Source organism: Homo sapiens, chromosome 2, assembly GCF_000001405.40.
Source record: "Homo sapiens chromosome 2, GRCh38.p14 Primary Assembly".
NCBI lineage: Eukaryota > Metazoa > Chordata > Mammalia > Primates > Hominidae > Homo > Homo sapiens.
In genome coordinates, this window is record NC_000002.12 from 175,995,545 (window position 1) to 176,018,466 (window position 22,922).

General features: G+C 39.0%; 1 protein-coding gene and 1 pseudogene across 10 annotated transcripts in view, besides 1 other annotated feature; one reads left to right on the forward strand and one right to left on the reverse strand.

Annotated features, from left to right (window-relative positions):
* The window catches only part of LNPK (lunapark, ER junction formation factor), a 78,939-nt gene extending 71,663 nt beyond the window's left edge, over positions 1-7,276 (reverse strand). For 3 of the 10 annotated variants that reach the window (NM_001305011.2, NM_030650.3, XM_005246878.5), the window contains exons 1-2: positions 6,616-6,723; positions 14-102 (exon numbers count right to left, since the gene is read on the reverse strand). Coding sequence is in view for 6 of the 10 variants with exons in the window: in NM_030650.3 (NP_085153.1) it covers positions 14-40 (27 nt within the window). In the remaining 4 variants the exon portion in view is untranslated. Of the gene's footprint in view, positions 1-8; positions 103-6,615; positions 6,802-6,967 lie in introns of those variants that run through there. The other 7 variants (NR_130941.2, XM_006712783.3, NM_001305010.1 and 4 more) reach the window with 4 other exon arrangements.
* Positions 6,917-7,136: an enhancer, noted in NCBI's record as "active region_16788". NCBI's record gives its function as "activates an Ori minimal core promoter by ATAC-STARR-seq in GM12878 lymphoblastoid cells {active_cell/tissue: GM12878}" and the evidence as "EXISTENCE:reporter gene assay evidence [ECO:0000049][PMID:35858748]".
* A 13,714-nt stretch (positions 7,277-20,990) lies between the features above and the next one.
* On the forward strand, positions 20,991-21,932 carry LOC107985963 (thymosin beta-4-like; annotated as a pseudogene).
* Positions 21,933-22,922: the final 990 nt, after the last annotated feature.

Genomic DNA, 22,922 nt, shown 5'->3' on the forward strand with positions numbered 1-22,922 from the left:
AAAAGTACCTTACCCTCCATCGAGAAAATAATCCACCCATCTTTTATTTGTAGAAACTGGGCACAATGATAAATATCATCAATTGTCCAAAGGAATTCACAGCTAGAAATAAAGCAAGTATTTAAAATGTTAAGTTAAACACACAGCATACCCACTATAGATGTTGCAATACTGCCTAAAAAATGTTATGAAATATTAATTTATTTGGATGCCACATATATGGAATTTGATTTCAGACAGTTATTGGGATAGAGTCTACCTTTTTTTTTTTTTTTTTTTTTTTTTTTGAGATGGAGACTCTCTGTGTTGCCCAGGCTGGAGTGCAGTGGCGAGATCTCAACTCACTGCAACTTCTGCCTCCCGGGTTAAGCGATTCTTGTGGCTCAGCCTCCTGAGTAGCTGGGACTACAGGTGCGCACCACTATGCCTGGCTAATTTTTGTATTCTTGGTAGAGACGGGGTTTTGCTATGTTGGCCAGGCTGGTCTTGAACTCCTGGCCTCAAGTGATCTGCCCGCCTTGGCCTCCTAAACTGCTGGGATTATAGGCGTGAGCCATCGCACACCACCAAGCCCACCTTTTAAAAATCCATTCTTCAAAACCAGAACAGATCTAAAAGTGAAAAAGTTTGAAAAGCTTTTTAAATGACAATGCAGTTTAGAAATGTATATTCTTACCACTTTGCAATTTTCTATCCTTTAAAATAGGTTCTCTATGTTGTTCTGGTAACAAAGTTTTACCATACTACTTTCATACTATACACTTAAATAATTTCTACTATCCAGCTGTCTCCCAACTAAACTAGTTATCTGGAATAGAAGTGTTTTACAATGTTTAGAATATCACCTTACAAGTAATAAGAGAAAGCCAGCTGAGTTATGAATAAGAAAATAAGGATTACAAGGTTATCTGTGACCTTTAGCAAATCACTTAATGATTCTAAGCCTTAATTTTCTTTTCTCTTAATTAGTTAATAATACAACCACTTTCTCACAGGATAGTCTATAGTATTACCATCTCACAGATAAGAAAACTAAGTGAAAAGAGGTTTAGTGATTTGCCCAATAGCTCAGAAGAAATATGGCCTAGAGTCCCTTTATCTTCAGATTTCTAGCCTCTATTACTAAACACTTCTGTTCAATGCCCAAATAAACATTTCTCCCTGACATTGTATACAAGTCCCTGAAGCTAGTTGACCTTCAATTCAGCTAGCTCCATAACCACTTCTTTCAGTTGCTTTTCTATGACTCTCGAATGTTTTATAATAGACTCAACAATATTATATTCTAAATCAACTTACTGGACAATGATTACACAAATTTTTATTCTTTTAAGTTGAAATGGTAAAAGTATAATTTCAAACTGACATATTTTAACCAGGTTACAGTTAGATACTTGCCAATGTATAAAACTACTTCTTTTCCACCCCCAAAAAGGTTACCTATGTCACACTTCTCATATTTTTTAACCATAAACGTAAACACAAAATAATACCAGTATCAAGTAAGCACACTCACTCTGCAAAATTATTCATATATTGTAATTAGCATAAGGCATAGCTATCTTGGAGTTTCTCAGAAAAGTAACAAAGTGCCTAACTGTAAAATACTTTTACTCACAAAGTAATTTTTAAGGACAGAAACACCTATAATCTGTCCTGAAAAACTCTAAGGTTTATAACTATAATGAATGTTTCAAGTCTTATTTAAGTTGCAATCTAAATATTATTAATCATTTAGTATTTGCTTAGTACTCAAATTTCTAAAATGTGGTTGTAGAAAATCCAGGAACTTTAATGATTAAACTATAAATTTCTATCTGAATTATGACAGTAAGTAAATCTAAAAACCCTCTTGAGATGCTAAAAATAACTACCAAAAAGGTGGGTGAAGGGGGTAGATTCATATGAATCACTTGTTATTCTCAAAATATACATCATTCCACTATTCTGGAACTAGTGTATGGTGTCTAGCAGTGTTCTGTACACAACCAACCTACATATTTTGGTTTGAAGTAGAATTATATCCTTCAATGTCAAGTTTCTAACCATCACACCCTAAGACTGTGATCAGAATTTTTAATATTTGAAATTAATGGCACCAACAATATCAGTTAAACACTTAGTAAGTACTTCATTTCTAGCGGCCCTAAAACAAATGCTCTGTGTGTGTGTGTGTGTGTGTGTGTGTGTGTATAAATATAATTTTTTTTTGAGACAGGGTCTCACTGACACCCAGGCTGGAGTGCAGTGGTGCGATCTTGGCTCAATACAACCTCCATCTCCAGCGTTAAAGCAATTCTCCCATCTCAGTCTCCAAAGGTGTAGCTGGGACTATAGGCATGGGCCACCACACCCGGCTAATTTTTTTTTTTTTTTGGTAGAGACAGGAATTTCACCTCGTTTGCCAGGTTGGTCTCGAACTCCTGGCCTCAAGTGATCTGCCCACCTTGGTCTCTCAAAGTGCTGGGGATTATAGGCATGAGGCACCACGCCCGGCCCAAATACTTTATATTAATTTTAGCATTTAGATACTACTATCCCTCCATTTTACAAATGAGAAATCTAAGGCAAGAGAAGTGAAGTAGTGTGCTAAGTAACATCCCAAAGACAGTAAGCAGGCCGGGTGCGGTGGCTCACGCCTGTAATCCCAACACTTTGGGAGGCCGAGGCGGGTGGATCACAAGGTCAAGAGTTCAAGACCAGCCTGGCCAAGATGGTGAAACCCCGTCTCTACTAAAAAACTATAAAAATTAGCCAGGCGTGGTGGCAGGTGCCTATAATCCCAGCTACTCGGGAGGCTGAGGCAGAGAATTGCTTGAACCCAGGAGGCGGAGGTTGCAGTGAGCCAAGATCGCGCCACTGCACTCCAGCCTGGGTCACAGAGCGAGACTCCGTCTCACAAAAAAAAAAAAAAAAGAAGAAAAGAAAAAAAAAGGCAGTAAGCAGCAGAGCCAAACATAATATTTTAGTTTTGATTTTTTAAGCACCCAGTTATTATGAATAACACAAAATCAGAAATAAAGTCTGCTTTGTATAGATTAGATTTGAATATTTATATGTAAAATATATGAAACCACCTCTGACATTATCAAATTGTTGGTAAACAAATCTACTGAAATGAAAAGTGAGTAATAAGCACAAGAAATAGTATTAGTACAATGTATTGTGTAACCCAATTCCTTTATTTGATTACATTTGAGTGTTTAAATCTGCATTAAAGAGAAGTTAAATGATTTGCCAAAATCATGTAGCTCCAGCTAGGGACAGAACTGGTACTAGAAGTCTGCAAGCACAGCCTTTATTTGTTTACTGCATGTCAATTTTAAAGTAAGTACAATATGAAATATATGCATAATATCACTATACCAATTTTGACAATTATTTGCTTAAAGAATTGTTTTGGTATTAATGAAACAATCTACATCTTAGCCTCTAAGACCCCTGAAGCAAGGGATTATGCTTTTAAATTTGTACTCTAAAACAATATTAGAGTGATAGTCATTAAATGCCATATCCATGCTTTCAGGTTCATAATCAAAGAACAGTCAACCAGCACAGTTTCAGCAATTTTTCTATCAAATTCTGATATTAAAGGAACTGTTTTACTGTAATGCATATGTAATAGGTGGTACTTTCTAACAGATGTGAAAACACAACAAAATTAAATAATTAAATCAAATATTTCTCCATAGCTTTAATTTCATACCTCTTCTGTATTCAACCACTGGTGCTCTCCTTTCCACCCAAACATATTAACTCCAAGTCCTGTGGCCCATCACTTACTGTAAAATCTTGGACAAATCAGTTACTTAACCTATCTGCTACTCAATTTCCTCATCTGTAAAAGAGGGATAGTTAAGGACCCCCTTAAATGTTGAAAGACTTAAATGACCTAATGTATTCTAACCTGTTTACAACAGTGCTTGGCACATAGTGATTGCTCAATACAAACTGTTTTTACTGCTGTAGTTGTAGCTATTTTCTAATCCATCTCTCCTTTCTTTCAAATACATGGAAAATACATGGGAACCGAATAACCTTTGCATTTCCTTCTGAGGCATAAATCAATTTGCTTGCCCTGGATTGGACAGACGGTTCAACCTCAAGTGACTTTTCTCCAAGAACTCTCCCATGAACATGTACAGAGTGTTTCTTTCCACTCTGATCTGATACCACAACAGGACCTGTCATGACCTTAAGAGCAGGGTGCATCTAAGTGTGTTTTTCTTTTTGTTGAGACTGAGTCTCACTCAGTCTGTTGCCCAGGCTGGAGTGCAGTGGCACAATCTCAACTCACTGCAACCACCGCCTCCTGGGTTCAAGTGATTCTCCTGCCTCAGCCTCCCATGTAGCTGGGATTACAGGTGTATGCCACCACTCCCGACTAATTTTTGTGTTTTTAGTAGAGACGGGGTTTCCCCATGTTGCCCAGGCTGGTCTTGAACTCCTGACCTCAAGTGATCCACCTGCCTTGGCCTCCCAAAGTGCTGAGATTACAGGCGTGAGCAACCCCACCCGACCTAAATGTGCTTTTCAATGAACAATAATGACCACCTTATTTGAATGTTTTCTACTAATGGCTATTTACACTCAGGTTTGGGTGTCAGAATTTTAAATCTTGGGAAATGTTTTTCTTAAATTTTCACCTCACTCCAAGACACATTAAAATAATGCAATAAAATAGATCTGGATTCAAAATATGGCTCAACCACATACTAGCTATGCAATCTTGAGCAGATTACTTAAACTCTGCACGCCTCAGTTATTGCATTTGCAAAATGGTAAAAATATCTACACTTCATAGAATTGTTGTATAAATTAAATGAAATTATGTATCATTTGGCACAGTGTCCGACACATAGTAGTAACTGCTTAATTGTAGCCATTATTATTACCAGAAAACACATGTATTTATATGAAACACATTTCTAACTTCTTATAAAGAAAGCACCTATTTCATAATTCTAAAATTGGAAAATTATATTAGTTTGTATTTTTACAAAAATAGATTGCTCTCATTTTCTCTAGTATAAGAAATAGAGCAAAAAATTCTGTAGACTCTGCCATTAAATAACCTTGTAGGTCTTTGAAGGAAACAGCAAAGGAAGTTCTATGTTTATCAAATTCCAAAGTTAAGTATAAGCTATTTAATCACCATCAACAGTACCTCCATAACATATTATACTATACAATTGAAGAGTAAAGGTGATTTATTCTAGAATTCTAACTTTCAAATGTCCTAACTGAAAAGACAATTCTGAAATAGCCCAAGCCACATTTATTGCTCCTCAAAAAGAATTTTAATGAAAAGTACACCTCTATTATATATTAAGCACTCTTAATATATAATGATTAGTGCTTGCTTTCATGGTAAGTCAATTTTCATCTGAACTAAATACCACCAAAAAATTACTATTTGATTATAAATGTTTCTATGTGAAGTCATATATTTTTAATAGCCATATAACTTCTCCTTTTCTTGTATTTTCTTGTTTATATAACATATAAACACTATATAAGTTTACTAACATCATTACTGAGCTGATCTCAATAGATAACAGACAACCTTAAAATTCTAATTTAAACGCACCACTCCTGTTTAAGAAAATGTGTTAAAAGTCAACTTGGTCTTCTGGGGGCTGCTGAGGAAAAGAAATGAGCATTCCCTGCCAGTTTGAACATATTCCTGAAACCAAGCTTACTCACACCCACCAAACCGCTGTTGAATAGAGTCAATTTTGTCAATGCTGACACCCAGGCCATAAAGAAAGGAGGAAACAGTAGACACCGAGCAACACACACCGGAGGCCAACTGGGAAAAGCAGAACACGGAAAACTCAGTGATTCACGGGTCTTGCTTAGTACTGTGAAAGCACCATCAGCAAAGCTGAGTTGACCAATTTCAACTCTTTCTCAATCCGTAAACTATGAACTGACGGAATTTAGATTTGTTTTTCTCCTCCTACCACGCCTCTGATACAATGCACCTTCGCCCTTCCCCTCCACCCCACAGCCCACCATCCCTGAAATAAGGACAATGGTTGGAGAGTCTCTTCTCTAAGTAGCACGTACTCCACGCCCACACGCTAGAGCCCGGCAGCATGACACTGACAGTTTTCAGTCCCTTCTGGTCTTTCTAACTCTTGGAGCCTCCGCACAACTCAGAAAGAGAAGCGGAGAGAACGCTCAAAGCGGACAGCTGAGCGTAGGAAATGCTAGTTTGGGACCTTCTGACCTCTTTGCCCCACCTGTGTCGAGATAAGCTCGACACAAGTGGGCCAAAGAGCTGGGGCTCAAGCCAGTCACCACCCGGAATCTCCTAGAACCGAGCTGGAGAAACTACCAGCCCTAGAGGGGAAACAAGGGTTTCAAGACTCCAGCGCCACCACTGCCAGTGTGCTGGGAAATCCAGGGAACAAGGCGGCGAGCCTGGGTCTGCGCGGACCACCGCGCAGCCTGACTAGCAGCCGCCGCAGAGCTCTAGGCCACTTGGCAGGAGGCGGGGGCACCAAGGAGAGGCAAGCGGGGAACCCGCAGCTTATTTCCCAGGGGCACAGCTCAGCATGCCTCCCCGCTGCAGAGCCCTCCCAACTGCCCTCGCCTTGAGCGTTCTACCTGCAAGAAGCGGGCGCAGCCCGGCCCGGGCGTCCACCCCCGCCAGTCTCGGCCGCCACCGCCCAGCCTGCCTCCAGAGCAGGCAGCAGCCGCCACTGACAGAGAGACAAGCCGGGCCAACTCCTTCCCATGAAACCCCGCGCTCCAGCCGCTCGCCAATTGGCGCCGCGGTCGGCGCGCGCCGCTCCCCCGTCACGTGACCGTACCCTGGGCGGGTAGTTGTTGGGGCGGGTCGGCCGGGAGGTTAGGATCTTGTGTTTGTGGCCTCCGCAGCCAGCTTAGGCTGCTCGGTGTCGTGTCGCAGTTATGTACTGCCATTTATTATGACTCTTAGAATATAGTTATTTCTTACTCTTCCGCTGCCTCCTTTGCTTTTAAAGCCTGTTCTGCCAAGTCTCGCTGGAGAAGGAAACCCCTGAAACTGGTCCTGGTGGTCTCAGACCGCCGCGCGAGCGAAGAGTGGGGAGGACAAAGGTTGGGGAGTTGAGAAGGATGGAGATGGGTGCATCTGGAAGGGAGTCCGTCCTGAGGAGTCCCCCATCAGCTGTCAGCCAGCCAGCAGCAAAGCAAATTAAGACTACACAGCTCCGAAGAAGCCAGTTCCCAACCAAGCCAGTGGAGAAAAGTCAGCCCGGTCCCCAGGAGTGCTTGAGGCTCTGTCACTCTTGGACGTCAAAAAGGGTCATTTGATGACTGGACGCTTACCTCACCGGTGTGAGGTAAGCTTCAAACGCCGTATCATGTTGCTTTAAAACCTGCGGGTAACAGCATAAGCTGAGTTTTCTATCTTAGAACTCTTAACCCCAAGAACACTCTTCACAGGCCCTGATAGGTGGACCCACAAAAAAACCACTCAGGCTATATTTGACTCGGATTTGAAACGCTGCCGAAACGGTATTAAGTGTCCTCCTCAACTGGAAAAGACAAATAACAAATGATGCCTGAATGAGAAAAAGACTAGACGTGCACACAGTAATGTGTGAGCAGGGAAACTTCAGCGAAGGTTTTTATCATGCTTTACCCCTTTTACATGCTTTACCCCATGTGCAAACATTTTTCATGGGTTTTTTTCTATTTTTTATTTATTTTTATTCTATTTTTTTATTTATACACAAAAAAGTTTCAATGATTTTTTAAAGAGTAATAGTTTTAATATGTTACATTTAAACTTTGACGATGCAAACAGGTTGTCAAGAGAAGCAACTGAGCATTGTTTGGTTGGTAAGAAAATTTATTATACTAGAAGCTACCGCATAATTCACTGTGCAATTTGCTTGCCCTAATTGCCTAAATATTTAGTTACAGTTCTGTACACTTGCAAGGATGAGGGGAAGGGAACTGAAGTTTAGCGTGTCACTGTGGATCAGGCACTTTCCAAATGTAGAAGAAAATGAACAGAAACATTTCACCTGTTTTGATGTGGAAATTTAACCGTTTTGTTTTTCAACCTTTGCTGTTGCAAAGTATTAAAGTCCTGTGCAGTTTTGCAAATATATCTCACCGCAGAAAGATCTCCTTTCCTAAGAAGACTGGGAAGAACGGCTTTCCACTTGCCAGTAATGTGTCCTCTGGTTTCAATTGAGCCATCAGTGTCTGTACTCCAGCCTGGGCTACCAAGCGATACCCCACCTCTGAAAAAAGGGTAGCAAGGGGACAGAGAAGAGCTGTCTGGATACACGAGATTCCAAAAACCTAATCCTGAGATAAAATTCCCTAGGGAATTGCTCTACCGAGAGTAGAGATTTGACCTGGAAAGAGAAGGGAGAGAAGTATTTAATCATTAACTCTTTTAATCCTCCCAACAACCTTTTTAGTATCATTTTTCAAATGAGGAAACTGAAATGTAGAAAGATTATGTACACTGTTGAAGGTAACACTAAGCCACTGCCTCCTTCATATCAAGAATAGTTGTTCATCGAGCAAATAAAGTGAGGGAAAGACATTACAAGCAGAGAAATCAACATACACACTATTGTGGCTGGACTTCAGGCTACAGGGTGGTTCCAAATATTTATTGACAAGGCCCTGTGTTACGTGCTGAGGATACAGAGATAAATAAACCAGCTGTCCTAAAGCCGCTGACACTAGTGAGAGAAACCTTAAAAAAAATACAATGCAGACTAAATAAGTGCTGTGATAGAGGCTAATGTTCACGGTATTGGAAAATGATAAGAAAACAGCAGCCGGAGAGAATGTGAGAAAGCCAGTGAAGGTGCTGCTTTAGCAGAGTCCAAATGTCAAGAGTTATCCCCTACTAACCCTGAAATTGTTCTGGGATAGGGTCTAAAGAATGAAATCCAAAGAACAACAGAGAAGAACACCAGAGAATACTTGGAGAGAGGAAACAAATTGCTCTAACCAATGGAGTTTTAAATGGTCTAGTTTAAAATAGGTTGAATTTACCTAGGTGTTATGAGAACTTAAGAACTTACATAAGTGGCATTCATTGGTATGGTCAAAGAGGTTAGGTAAGGCTTCTTTGAGGAAGTCACACCAGAATGGAGATCCAAAAGATGAGAAACTGAAAAAGGGAGAGTGGGAAACAGAGGGAATATCATGTGTAAAGCCTTTTTGTCAGAAGGGAACACTGCAAGCCTGAGGGACTGAAAGGAGGCTATTGTGGCTAGAGCCTAGGTTGCAGGGAGAAAGTGCACCAGTTTGAAGCTGGAGACCAGATTAAGCAGAGTCTTATTGGCCATATTAAGAACTGTAATCTTAAGAGAAAAAGGGAGGGGGAGGGCATTTGACATGATTGGATCTGTGTTTTGAAAAGATCATTCCAGCTGCAGTGTGGGAACACAAGCAGAGCCAGCACTGGACTAATTAAATCTATGAGTGGTGTTAGTGTTGGTAGGCATGCAAGTGGCTTGGGGTAGGAACAAGGAGATGGACAGAAGTGGGGGAAATGGAACAATAGGAAGTAAAGTGGAAGGTCTTGGTGATGGATTCAAATATCATGGGGTGGGATGGGGACTGAGGGAGAGGGAGGAGTCAGATAACTCAGAATTTCTAGCAGACCCAGTGGGTGGATAGTAATGCCATCATTGAGATATGGAGGACACTGGAAGAGAGCCAGGTTTGGGGGAAGAGGGTAATTTCAATTTGAACACGTTAAGTTTAAGATATTTTTGTGACTTCAAGGGAAGATGTAAACATTGGAATCTTTAGGTCTGCAGCACTGGGCTGGAGAAAAAAATATATATTACCATTTGCAATTTTTTGTTTTCTGCAGGGTACTTATTTTTTCAAAATACATATGTCTTTATTGTAAATAAGATGTTTTGTTTTTAAACATATTTAGACGCACTTGAACCCAGGAGCCAGAGGGTTGCAGTGAGCTGAGATGTCACCATTGCACTCCAACCTGGGCAACAAGAGCAAAACTCAGTCTCAAAAAATAAATAAAAATATATTGAGAACAGAATTTTAAACTAGAGCAGTTTCCCAGACTTCTCTGAGAGTCACCAGTGTCCCTTATCAAAAACTCAAATTCTCAGGCCCATCCCCTAGAGATTCTGATTTCACTTGTCTGGTATAGGGGGCCTGGAAATGTGGATTTTTTGACAAATGCCACTGGAGATTCTTCTTATTGCTGAGTTTCTCTGGGAAGTGGTATGCCAGTGCCAGAGGCTACCTGCATAAGAGTCACCACAGTGCTTATTGAAATATAGATTCTCGGGCCCTGCAGACTAAATCTATAGGGATAGAAGGGTTGTGAGGAATGGAAAAAGGAACATGGTACCATGTCAGGTGGTCCAAGACCTCACCCTTCATCTTTGACAGAGATGTTCTGCGCGTCCCACTGGGCAGCCCAGAGGAAAGTGGATGTCCCTTGCTGGGTGATGCGTATTTAGGCAGCAGGCAGCCCTCACAGTCTGCAATGATAACAGCTCTTAACCTAGGCCTTCTGCCCTGTCCACTGACATGGCACTCAGCCCACTTAGATAGTCTCTTTTTCCACCATTCTTATCAAGGCCCATTGTTCCCTCCTGGCCCCCAAATCTTTTTCAATGTTATTTCCAGCACCCTGTCTTTTTACTCCTGGTTCAGGTGTTTTTCAGCCAATCTCTGTGGCCAGAGCTGGGAGAGAAATTGGGTCAAATGCTATGTTTCAGTCTTGACAAGGCTTTTTTGTTCTTGAGAACCGACTTTGGAAGTGTTTTTAAAGACTGAGCTGTGTCAGGGAGGAAAAACTTTTCCTCTGCGCTCTCTTGTTTCCTCTTTGGGGGCCTGCAAATTAAAACAACAAAGATAGCAAGAGAAAAAAGACATTTAATTACATATGTACACACACACAGAGAGAGGGAGAAAGAAAGAGAAATTCACAAATAACTGACCCTAGGTGGTTAGAATTTAGAGCTTATATACCATCTTAATAGGGGACAAAGAAGGGCAGAGAGGCCCTTCTAGGAGAGTAAATGACTTCTTCAAAGGAAGTGAGGGAGAGACAAAGCATTTAGAGAAAACAAAACACTTTTTGGAAAGATAAATGGACTTTTAGGAGAATAGATGGAAGATACGATAGTTTTGTAGCAATGTCTGGGTGTGGTGCAGATGTCTCCTCAGAGAAGAAAATATTAGAATTGCTCCCCAGGAGGGGATTTATTACAATTGAGGTCTTTTGGGAGGCTTTACTTTTAGGCACATAAGGGATTTCAGGAACTCAAGTCCTTCAGCTCAAAATAACTTTTATGCCATGGTAGCTTATTCTGAACCCCTTCAATTATTTGTTCTTGTAGTCTTGCTGTAGCAATCCCAAGTCTCTTTGAGACACTGTAGATGCTTTGGAATAGAGGAAGAATCAGAACATATGAAGAAAAGAAATGATTAGAATGATTTGTTGGTGATGGCAAGCATACAGAAAAGTTTCTAAAACTGAAGTATACTATTGAGCACGATAACACACTCATGTAACCCCATATGGGCCAAAGTAGAACATTCAACACTCCAAAAGGCCCCAATGTGCTCCTTCCCTTATAACCTTCAAGTGCCTAGAGATGGCCACATCATGATTATTACCATATTTACTTTCTTGTTTTTCTTTCTGGTTTTACTGCCTAATTACTCATCCTTAAACAATATTATTTTTGAGCTCTATGTAAATGGAATCACAGAGTTTTTCATTTACATGTCTTGAACTTTTTTGATCAATCTGTCTTTAAGATTTACCCATGTTGATATGGCTGTAGTTTATTCATTTTCATTGCTGTAGGTTACTATATTGCATTGGTGTATCATAATTTATTCTACTGCTGATGGACATATAGGCTATTTCTAGCTTTAGGCTATTATAAGCAATGCTGCTGTGAAAGTTTGTGTAAACACACACACATATGTATGTTCTCTTTAAGTACATATGTGTGTGTGTGTGTGAATGTATATATATATATATATATATGTTCTAGAGCATATAAACACAGATTTCTTTGGAGTCTTTACCTTGGTATGTAATTCCTGGTTTGTAGAGCATGTATATATTAATATATTCAGTTTTACAAGATCGTGCCAAAATTTTCCAAAATGATTGTACCAATTTATATAACCAACAACAATATACAAAAGTTTCTGTTGCACTACATCCTCACCAACACTTGATATTGTCAGACATTTTAAGTTTTATTACTGTAATGAATGTGTAATGCTGTTTTATTGTGGCTCTATTTTGCATTTCCCTGATTTTTAATGAAGAATAGCCCCTTTTTATATGAGTGTTGTCTAATTGTTTAGGTCTTTCCCCATTTTTCTGTTGGGTTGTTTGTATTTTTCTTACTTTTTGTATTAATCTGTTATATAATGTTGAAACAAGTTTTATTGATTATATGTGCTACAAATGTTTTTCCCACTTTGTGGCTTGTACTTTCACTGTCTTAATGTCTTTTGATGAAACCAAGTTGTCAGTGGAGTAGAATTCATCACTCTTCCCTTATGATTAATGATATCTGTATCCTATTTAAGAAATATTTTCCAACCCTAAGATCATTAAGACTTTTATATTGTCTTCTAAAATTTTATTGCTTTGCTTTTTAAATTTTGGTCTAGGCAGACCTGCAATTAATGTTCTTACATATGGAGAAAGGGAGGCATATATAGATCCCCAACCCCTTCCATGTGGAAAATTAGACTAGCACCATTTGTTGAAAGATGGTCCTCTCTGCCCTACCCTGCAGTGCCATCTTGATCATGAACCAAGTAGTCATATAAGTATGGAGTTGTTTCTGACCTTGGTATTCTTTCCATTAGTCTATTATCTTTTTTTGTATGTTGCTGGATTCAATATACTCACATTTTGTTTAAGATTTCAGGGGATCTCACAAATAAGACTGACCTGTAATTTTCCTTTTGGTAATGTCTTTCTCTGAATTTGGTATCAAAATATGCTAGCTACCTTCATTAAATGAGTTGGGGAATACACTTTCTTTTTCCTATTCAGTTGTCTTTTTTACCCATTTATTCTTCTTGTTTTTGGAATCAAGTTGTCAAGAACCCCCAAAACTCTATGTGGATTTTTATTAAAATTTCTGTTTGTATATTAATTTCAGGGAAAACAATATTCTTCTATATGAGCCTTTCCTTTCAGTAATCTGCATTTATTCAAGTGTCCTCATATATGTTTTCCAAAAATTTTATCATTTTCATTATATAGGTCATGTATCTTATAGGAGGCAGAATTCTAAAGTCCCTCTAAGTTTTCCACCCCTAGTCAGTAAAACACTAATCTAGGCACTGCTAAGAATGTACAGATGTAATTAAATTTATAGATCTTAAAGTAGGGAAATTATTGTAGATATCTGGTTGGCCCAGTCTAACCAATTGAGCCCTCATAAAAAGAGAAATTTCTTCAGCTGGAGTCAGTCAGATGTGGCAAAAAAGAAAAGCTGAGAAAAGATGAGGCAGAAAGATCAGAGACATTCAAATCATAAAAAGGCTTGATGCCACCACGTGGTGGCTCACACCTGTAATCTCAGCACTTTGGGAGGCTGAGGCGGGCAGATCGCTTGAGCTCAGGAGTTCGAGACCAGCAACATGGTGAAACCTTGTCTCCACTGGGTAATACGGTGAAACCCTGTCTCCACCAAAAATACAAAAATCAGCCGGGCGTGGTGGCACATGCCTGTGGTCCCAGCTACTTTGGAAGCTGAGGCAGTAGGATCTCTTGAACCCAGGAGGCAGAGGTTGCAGTGAGCTGAGATCACACCACTGCACTCCAGCCTGGGTGACAGAGCGAGACTCCATCTCGAAAGAAAGAAAGAAAGAAAGAAAGGCTTGGTGCATCGTTGCTGACTTTGAAAAAAAATGGCCAAGGAATGCAGGTAGCTTCTAGAAGCTGAGAATGGCTCCTGGCTGACAGATAGCAAGCAATGGAGAGCTCAGTCCTACAAGTGCATGGAACTAAATTCTGTCAACCACCTAATGAGCAGGAAACAGATTCTCCCTTAGAGCCTCCAGAAAGGAACAAAGTAAGTAATACCTTGATTGCAGCCTTGTAAAACCTAGCACAGAGAGCTAGCTGAGTCACTCTGTGCCTGGATTTCTGACCTACAGAACTGTGAGATAATAAATGAGTGTGATTTTAAGCTGGTAAATTATGGTAATACGTTATGGGAGGAAAAGAAAACGAATATATATCTTATCAGGCAAAAATATTTTGGGTAGCTCATCAGGTAGGCCTTTAAGTAGAATGAGTCCATGAAGGTCACACTACTCAAATCCTGTGGCTGAGATTGTTTCACCTTTTAGAATTTTGACTAAAAATGCATACGCTGTATATATAAGGCAGATGGTACTTGGAGCTGCTATCAGCTACCTCCTGAAAGTGGGCTTGGTAGACAAGATAGATAGTACTTGGGAAAAGAAGGAAGTAAATAGAGGAAAAACACAGCACCAAAAGCCAAGAGCATGGAGTAAGAGCAGAATGAGCAGCATGGCTTCTCAGCCTCTGTTTGCTCACTTCTGATTTGGACCCATCCATCACACTCTCCTGAAATAAATGTGTGCTAAATGTGGTTCACATGTTCCACTTAAAAAGAGAGAAAATAAAGTCTAGATCTCTGTGAAGTAACTCTGCAAATATTGAATGTATTTCGACACTGACATTTTTCAAGTCTAACATTAAAGATTTCTATTGTCATAAATAATGCATAAATCCAGAGACCGTTTGTGTCTGAAAGGCATGATTTAAAATTAGAACACAAGGTGTCCTGGCATGTATACCTGTCTCAAAACTCCATGTGAGCTCAATCTAGTTATCAAAAAAGAGAAGAACAATTCCTTCTTACAATTAAAAAAAGTTCTCATTCTGATAATATATATATATTAGCTAAGTAGGTTAAAAATATACATTCTTGGCTTTGTGCTCAGTAACTCCAAAAGGTGACATTCTAATGCTTCCTAAAAAATAAATGATACACATGACAAATCAGGTAGCTGGTGAAACTTGAGTCTTCCCTAGAATGCCTGTAAAGCTTACACATAAAATAAGGAAGATGTAGCTTTAGCTAATTCAGACTGAAATTTATTGTTAATAGGAGTCATAAGAGTGCATGGTATTTCACAAAGCATAAAATATAAAAGACAGATTTCCTGCCCTGAGGAGCTTAGTGAAACATGTGCAGACAGTAGGTAACAGGAAAAATATTAAGTCATGGTGATTTACAAAGTGGTCACCAATGGAAGACCGAGTACAAGAAGATGCCTTATAAAAATGTCTGGTTTTTGGAAAAAGATCTTGCAAAAGCTTGAAGAAAGAATGAAAAAGAGATGAGTGAAATGAGAGTTCTAAAAATGATGAAAGAGGAAAAACTGAAGGGAGAGGTGGAGAAAAAGGCTCAGGCTGCTGTGAGACATGAACCAATATATGAATTATAGAATATAGGACTGATTTGACAAACCTCTGAAAATAGACAACCGGAAATTCTAACTATACATCTCATTTCTTATAAAACTTAAGAGATAGTTTTCTCAAATAATAGGCACTAGACCAAACTTCTTGTTCAAGCCATATTATATGTCTATAAGATATGTACATATAAATAAAATTCCATGTAGATCTGTATACTGCTGAATTGTGAATAATTTTAAAAGTTTGATTTTTTTGAGTTATAGTGTGAAAGTAACTTCCCCTTAGAAGATATATTCAAAAGCGCTAGTTTTCTTTATACATACATATGTTACAGAAAATACCCAATGCTATAGCAATACTGAAATCAGAACCAATATTTCCCTACAAGATAAAGACCAAATTCCTGTACAGTATATTCAAGGCCTGTATCATCTCCAGACTCCACCTTTGTGGACCAGACTTCTCTTTATTCCTACAATAGGCTGTATTCATAAAATTGTCTGTCCCAGTAATTTGCCTATTTTTAATTGGATCATTTGGCTAGGCGCAGTGGTGCATGCTTGTACTCCCAACATTTTGGGAGGCCAAGGTAGGAGGACTGCTTGAGCCCAAGAGGCTGAGGCTGCAGTGAACCATGATCACTACTGTAGTCTAGCCTGGGCAACAGAACAAGATACTGTCTCTAAAAAACAAAGTTAAAAAAAGAAAATTGGATCATTTGTCTTAATTAAAGGGTTTTGAGCATTATATATTCTGAATACTAATTAATTTTTAGACATCTAATTTTCAAATATTTCTCCAGGTCTGTGGTTTGTCTGTTTGTTCATTTAACATTGTCTTCAAACAGTAAAAATTTTTAATTTTCATGAGGGAAATTTATAATTTTGGTGTCATATCTAAGAAATATTTACCTAACCCAAGATCACAAATATTTTATCCTATGTTTTAATCTACAGGTTTTTACCTTAATATTTTGCTTTTAGGTCTTATGGTTATTTTGAGTTGGTTTTTTAAAGGTATGAGGTATGGGTTAGCATTCATTTTCTTTGCATATGGATGTCAAACTGTTTCTGCACCATCTGTTGAAAAGACTGTCCTTTTTCCATTGAATTGCCTTTGCATCTTTGTCAAAAATCAGTTGGCTGGCCGGGCGTGGTGGCTCACGCCTGTAACCCCAGTACTTTGGGAGGCCGAGGCAGGCAGATCACGAGGTCAGGAAATTGAGATCATCTTGGCTTACATAGTGAAACCCCGTCTCTACTAAAAATACAAAAAAAAAAAAAAAAATTAGCGGGGTGTGGTGGCATGCACCTGTAATCCCAGCTACTAGGGAGGCTGAGGCAGGAGAATCACTCGAACCTGGGAGGTGGAGGTTGCAGTGAGCCGAGATCATCACCCCTGCACTCCAGCCTAGGAGACAAAGCAAGACTCCATCTCAGGAAAAAAAAAAAATCAATTGGCTGTATATTTGTGAGTCTAGAAATAGACTCACTCTTCTTTTCATTGATCCATGTTCTCTATTTTTGCCTTTTGCTACACCATGTTGGCTACTATACCTTCGCAGTAAGTCTTGAAATGAAGTAGTATGAGTCCTCCAACTTTGTTCTTGTTAAAAATTGTTTTGGCTAACCTAGTTCTATATGAACTTTTAAATAAACCTCAATTTCTAGAAAACTATCTTGCTGGGATTTTTATTGGGGTTGCATTGATCTATATATCACTTCGAGAAAAATTGGCTTATTAGCAATATTGAGTTGTCCTATCCATGGATACAGTATTTCTATCCATTTATTTAGATCTTTGATTTCCTTTATCATTATTTTGTAGTTTCCAGCATATAAATCCTGCATAGTTTTGCATTTTAAATTTATAGCTAATTATTTCATTTTTGGTACTATTATAAATTATACTGTGTTTTAAATTTTGATTCCCAAATATTTACTGGCAACATTTAGAAATAAAAAATATGTTTATCTTTGTACCTTTTATTTATAATATTACTTTTCTAAAATGATTAATTCATTCTAGGACTCTTTTTATAGATTCCTCGGGGTTTTTTATATAAAAATCACATAGTCTGAACAGAGAGTTTTATATTTTCCTTTCCAAGCTGTATTTTTTTAAAAATCTTGTTTCTTGCCTTGCTGCACTATCTAGTACCTCCAGGATAATGTTGAAAAGGAGTGGTGAAAGCAGACATCCTTGCCTTAAACTCAGTCTTAGGGAGAAAACATTCAATCTTTCACTTGTAATACATTAGATGTAGATCTTTTTATCAGGATAAGGAGGTTTTCTAGTTTGTGGAAAATACTTATCATGAATGGATTTTGAATCTTGTCAAATGCTCTCTCTGCAACTACTGAGATGATCATGTGGTTTTTCTTATTTACTAAGTTGCTATAATGAATGACATTGACTCTCAAATCTTGAACAAGCCTTGTGTTCCTGGAATAAACTCTATGTGGTCATGACATGCTCTTCTTTTTATATATTGTTAGATTCAATTTACTAGTATTTTGTTAAGGATTTCACATCCATGTTTATGGGAATATTGCTCTCTAGTTTCCTTTCTTATTATGGAATGTCTTTGTTTGGTAAATGAGTTGGGAAGTGTTCTCTCCTCCTATTTTCTGAGAGAAAGTGTGACGTATTGGTATTTGTGTTTGGTAGAACTAACCAGCAAAACCAGTTTCATTGTTGGGAAGTTTTTAACTGCAAACTCAAAATCTTCAATAAATGTAAAATAATTCAGATGATTTAGTTCTTGAGTGAGCATTAACAGTTTATGTATTTCAAGAAATTGATTTCTTTCATCAAAGTTGTCAAATTTACTAGCATAAAGTTGTTCACAGTATTCCTTTATTAGCTTTTGTTTGTTTGTTTTGTTTTTTATTTTGTTTGTTTGAGACAGGGTCTCACTCTGTTGCCCAGGCTGGAGTGCAGTGGCGCAATCTCAGCTCACTGCAACCTCCGCCTCCCAGGTTCAAGTGATCCTCCTGCCTCATCCTCCCGAGTAGCTGGGACTACAGGTGTGTGCCACCACACCCAGCTAATTTTTGTATTTTTAGTAGAGACGGGGTTTCGCCATGTTGGCCAGGCTGGTCTTGAACTCCTTACCGCAGGTGATCTGCCCACCTCAGCCTCCCAAAGTGCTGGATTACAGGCATGAGCCACTGTACCCAGCCACTTATTAGCTTTTTAATGTCTGTCATGTCAGAAGGATCAGTGATGACGTCCCTACTTTCTTTTTTTTTCTTTTTTCTTTTTTTCTTTTTTTTTTTTGAGAAAGAATCTCCTTCTGTTGCCCAGGCTGGAGAGCAGTGGTGTGATCTCAGCTCACTGCAGCCTCCGCCTCCTGGGTTCAAATGATTCTCCTGCCTCAGCCTCCCGAGCAGCTGGGACTACAGGCACATGCCACCATACCCGGCTAATTTTTGTATTTTAATAGAGTCGGGGTTTCACCATTTTGGCCAGGCTAGTCTCGAGCTCCTGACCTCAAGTGATCTGCCTGCCTCAGCCTCCCAAAGTGCTAGGATTACAGGCGTGAGCCACCGCTCCCGGCCCTGCTACTTTCATGTTTGATATTGGTGATTTATAGCTTCTCTCTCTCTTTTTCTCAGTCTGGCTAAAGGTTTATCTTTTTTAAAAAATAAGCTTTTTGTTTCATTGATTTTTCTCTATTATTTTTCTACTTGTAATTTCATTGACTTTTGCTTTTCATCATTTCCTTCTATCTGTTTGCTTTGGGTTTAACTTGCTCTTCTCTCATTTCTTAAGTGGAAATTTTGGTCACTGATGTAAGACATACTTATTTTCTAATCTTAGCAATTAATGCTACAGGTTTCTTACTAATCACTGTTTTAGCTCCATCCCCATATTTTGATGTTATATTTTTATTTTCCTTCAATCAAAATGTTTTCTAATTTCCCTTGTGACTTTCTCTTTTACCCATGTTGTATTTAGAAATTGTGTTGTGTGTGTTATATCCAAATATATGGTGATTTTCCAAATATCTTTTTGTGGTTTATTTCTAATTTAATTATTTGATGATCTGAGGTCACGGTTTGTATTATTATTTTTTTTAATTTGTTGTGGCCGGGTGTGGTGGCTCACGCCTGTAATCCCAGCACTTTGGGAAGCCAGGGCACAGATCATCTGAGGTCAGGAGTTCGAGACCAGTCTGGCCAACATGGCCAAACCCCATCTCTATTAAAAATACAAAAATTTGCCAGGTGTGGTGGCACACACCTGTAATCCCAGCTACTCGGGAGGTTGAGGCAGGAAAATCGCTTGAACCCAGGAGGCAGAGGTTGCAGTGATCTGAGATCGCACCATTGCACTCCAGCCTGGGTGACAGAGCGAGACTCCAACTCAGAAAAAAAAAGAAATTTGGGCCAAGCGGGGTGGCTAACGCCTGTAAGCCCAGCACTTTGGGAGGCCGAGGCAGGTGGATTGCTTGAATCAGGAGTTTGAGACCAGCCTGGCCAACATGGTGAAACCCTGTCTCTACTAAAATACAAAAATTAGCTGGGCGTGGTGGTGGGCGCCTGTGATCCCAGCTACTAGGGAGGCTGAGGCAGGAGAATCACTTCTACCCAGGAGGCAGAGGTTGCAGTGAGCCAAGATCGTGCCACTGCACTCCAGTCTGGGCAACAGGGTGAGGCTCTGTGTAAAAAAAAAAAAAAAAAAAAACATTGTTATAGTTTGTTTTATTGGCCAGAATATTGTCTTTCTAGATAAATGTTCCATATACAACATTTGAAAAGAATGTGCATACTAATATTGTTGGGTGGAGTACTCTATAAATGTCAATTAAATATAGTTGGTTTCAAAAGTATTGTTCCAGTCTTTCATATCCTTATAACATTCTGTCAACTTCTATCAATTACTAGGAGGCGGATGTTAAAGTCTTTATATGTAATTGTGGATTTATTGCTACCATGTTTTGCTTTATGTATTTTGAAGCTCTGTTGTTAGGTATAAACACATTTAAGATTGTTATATCTTCTTGGTGAATTCACTGTTTATCATCATGTGATGTTTCTTTATATTCCTGATAGTATTCTTTATTCTAAAGACTATTTTGCCTAACATTAAGATAGCTACTCCAGCATTGTTTTGATTAGTGATTGTGTGGTATACCTTTATTCATACTTTTACTTTAAGCCTATCCTATAGCTTTATACTTGAAGTGGGTTTCTTGTAAACAATATCTAGTCAGGCCTTTTTTATACAATCTTACAATATCTACTTTTTTACAGTTTTTTGTTTGTTTGTTTTTGGTTTTGTTTTTTGAGATGGAGTCTCGCTCTGTCGCCCAGGCTGGAGTGCAGTGGCACGATCTTGGCTCACTGCAAGCTCCGCCTCCCGGGTTCAAACTATTCTCCTTCCTCAGCCTCCTGAGTAGCTGGTATTACAGGTGGGTGCCACCACACCCGGATAATTTTTATATTTTTAGTAGAGACGGGGTTTCACTGTGTTAGCCAGGATGGTTTCGAACTCCTGACCTCATGATCCGCCCGCCTTGGCCTCCCAAAGTGCTGGGATTACAGGCGTAAGCCACCACGCCTGGCCCTTTTTTACAGTTTTATTGAGATATAATTTATATATGCCTTTTGATATTGTCCCACAGGTCCCTGAGGCTTTGCTTATTGATTTTTCAATCTATAATGTGTTTCTCAGATTAGATGCTATCTATTATCTATCTTCAAGTTCATCAACTCTTCCTCTGTCATCTGCAATTTGCTATTGAGCCCATCCAGTGAATTTTTGAGTATGCTATTTTTTAGGTCTAAAATTTTCATTTAGGTTTTTTAAAAATAATTTCTAACTAGGTGGTGGCCACTGCACAAACTAGATTCTGCTCACTCTGGGCCTCACTCCACTTCCTCTGTGACAGATCATATGACACATGATATGTCAAGACATATCATGTCTGACAAACCTGATATGGCTGAGATCAAGAAATTTGATGTCAAAAATAGAAGAAGACAGAATTGCAAGAGAAAAATCCACTGCCTTCCGAAGAAACAATAGAACAGGAGAAGCAGGCAGACAAATCTTACGGAGGCATGCGCCGCCAATATGCACTGTACATTCAACGAGAATTGCCTTCTTATTTTACTTATTTTAGCTGTTAATTTTGTAAGATGCAAAGAGGTTGGATCAACTTTTAAAGGACTTTGCTGCCCTTTTCACATCAAACAATAGAAAACTGCTGACGATGAAGGCCACACCTACCTCTCCCATCTGCTTGTCTGGCTGTCAAGGAAGGAAAATAACTTGCATGTTGGTGAAGGAAGAAGAAGAGTAGGAAGACAGGTAAATCTAGAGTAAAACCAAGCTGCCCCAAGGTGTCCTGCAGGTTCTCAAATGCAGTTTAAATGAAGTTTAATTAGAGTGCCATTTTTCTTGTTCAAATGATTTTAATTATTAGAATGCACAAACTTTATTTTAAAATAAACAGTTTTAGGCTGGACGTGGTGGTTCATGCCTGTAATCCTAACACTTTGGGAGGCTGAAACGGGTGGATCACTTGAGGTCAGGAGTTTGAGACCAGCCTGGCCATCATGGTGAAACCCCACCTCCACTAAAAATACAAAAATTAGCTGGGTGTGGTGGCTCGCACCTGTAATCCCAGCTACTCAGGAGGCTGAGGCAGGAGAATCACTGTTCACATTAAATTATTGTATTTTCATCATTGCTATAGCAGTTAATCTTATTAAATAAAACATAGCAATTTAAATGCACTAAAGTCTTAAGACTTTTCCAGTTAAAGTTTGTTGAGCATGTAGAAATTACTTAGTATCTTAGAGTTCTAGGTGCAAAATATACTTTTTAATATCATTATTTTGGGAGGTTAGTCTTTCTACTCCCTACTCTCCTCTCTACCAGCCTCATCCAGAGAAATAACTCTCTCAAGGTACTGATAAGAGATGCCACAGTCAGGCTAGTCAATGGAGTGAAAGATGTCACTGCCAGATCCCCTGTATAGTGGCACAGACTCCTGGAATTGAAACGGAGCTAGCTTAAGGAGTCATTTAATCCAGACCTCTTTCTTCCTGCAAGGGGTCTGCCTGAAATGTCTAAGACAGATGGTTTGTCCTTAAAATTCACTAGGGACGGAGATTCTACAATATTACTCTGGAGTCTTTTCTAATGTTTAATCACTATTACTGTCAGGTCGGTTTAAGCTCTTTCCTGCTAGTTTTTCCTCTGCAGACATGGAAAACGGTTGAACACCAACCTCTTTATAATCACCTTGCCAATACGCAAAAACAGTTACCATGGTGCCCTTCGGCCTTGTTTTTTCAAAAGCATGTAATTTATCTCCTCTCCATTTTTAACACATCAATATTTTATCTCATTAATCATTTGGGTTAATTTTAATTAAACTCTTTCCATTTGTTATATATCACTTCTAATGTGGCATTACAGTAAGTTCTTAAATTGTAATGTGTTTTATTTT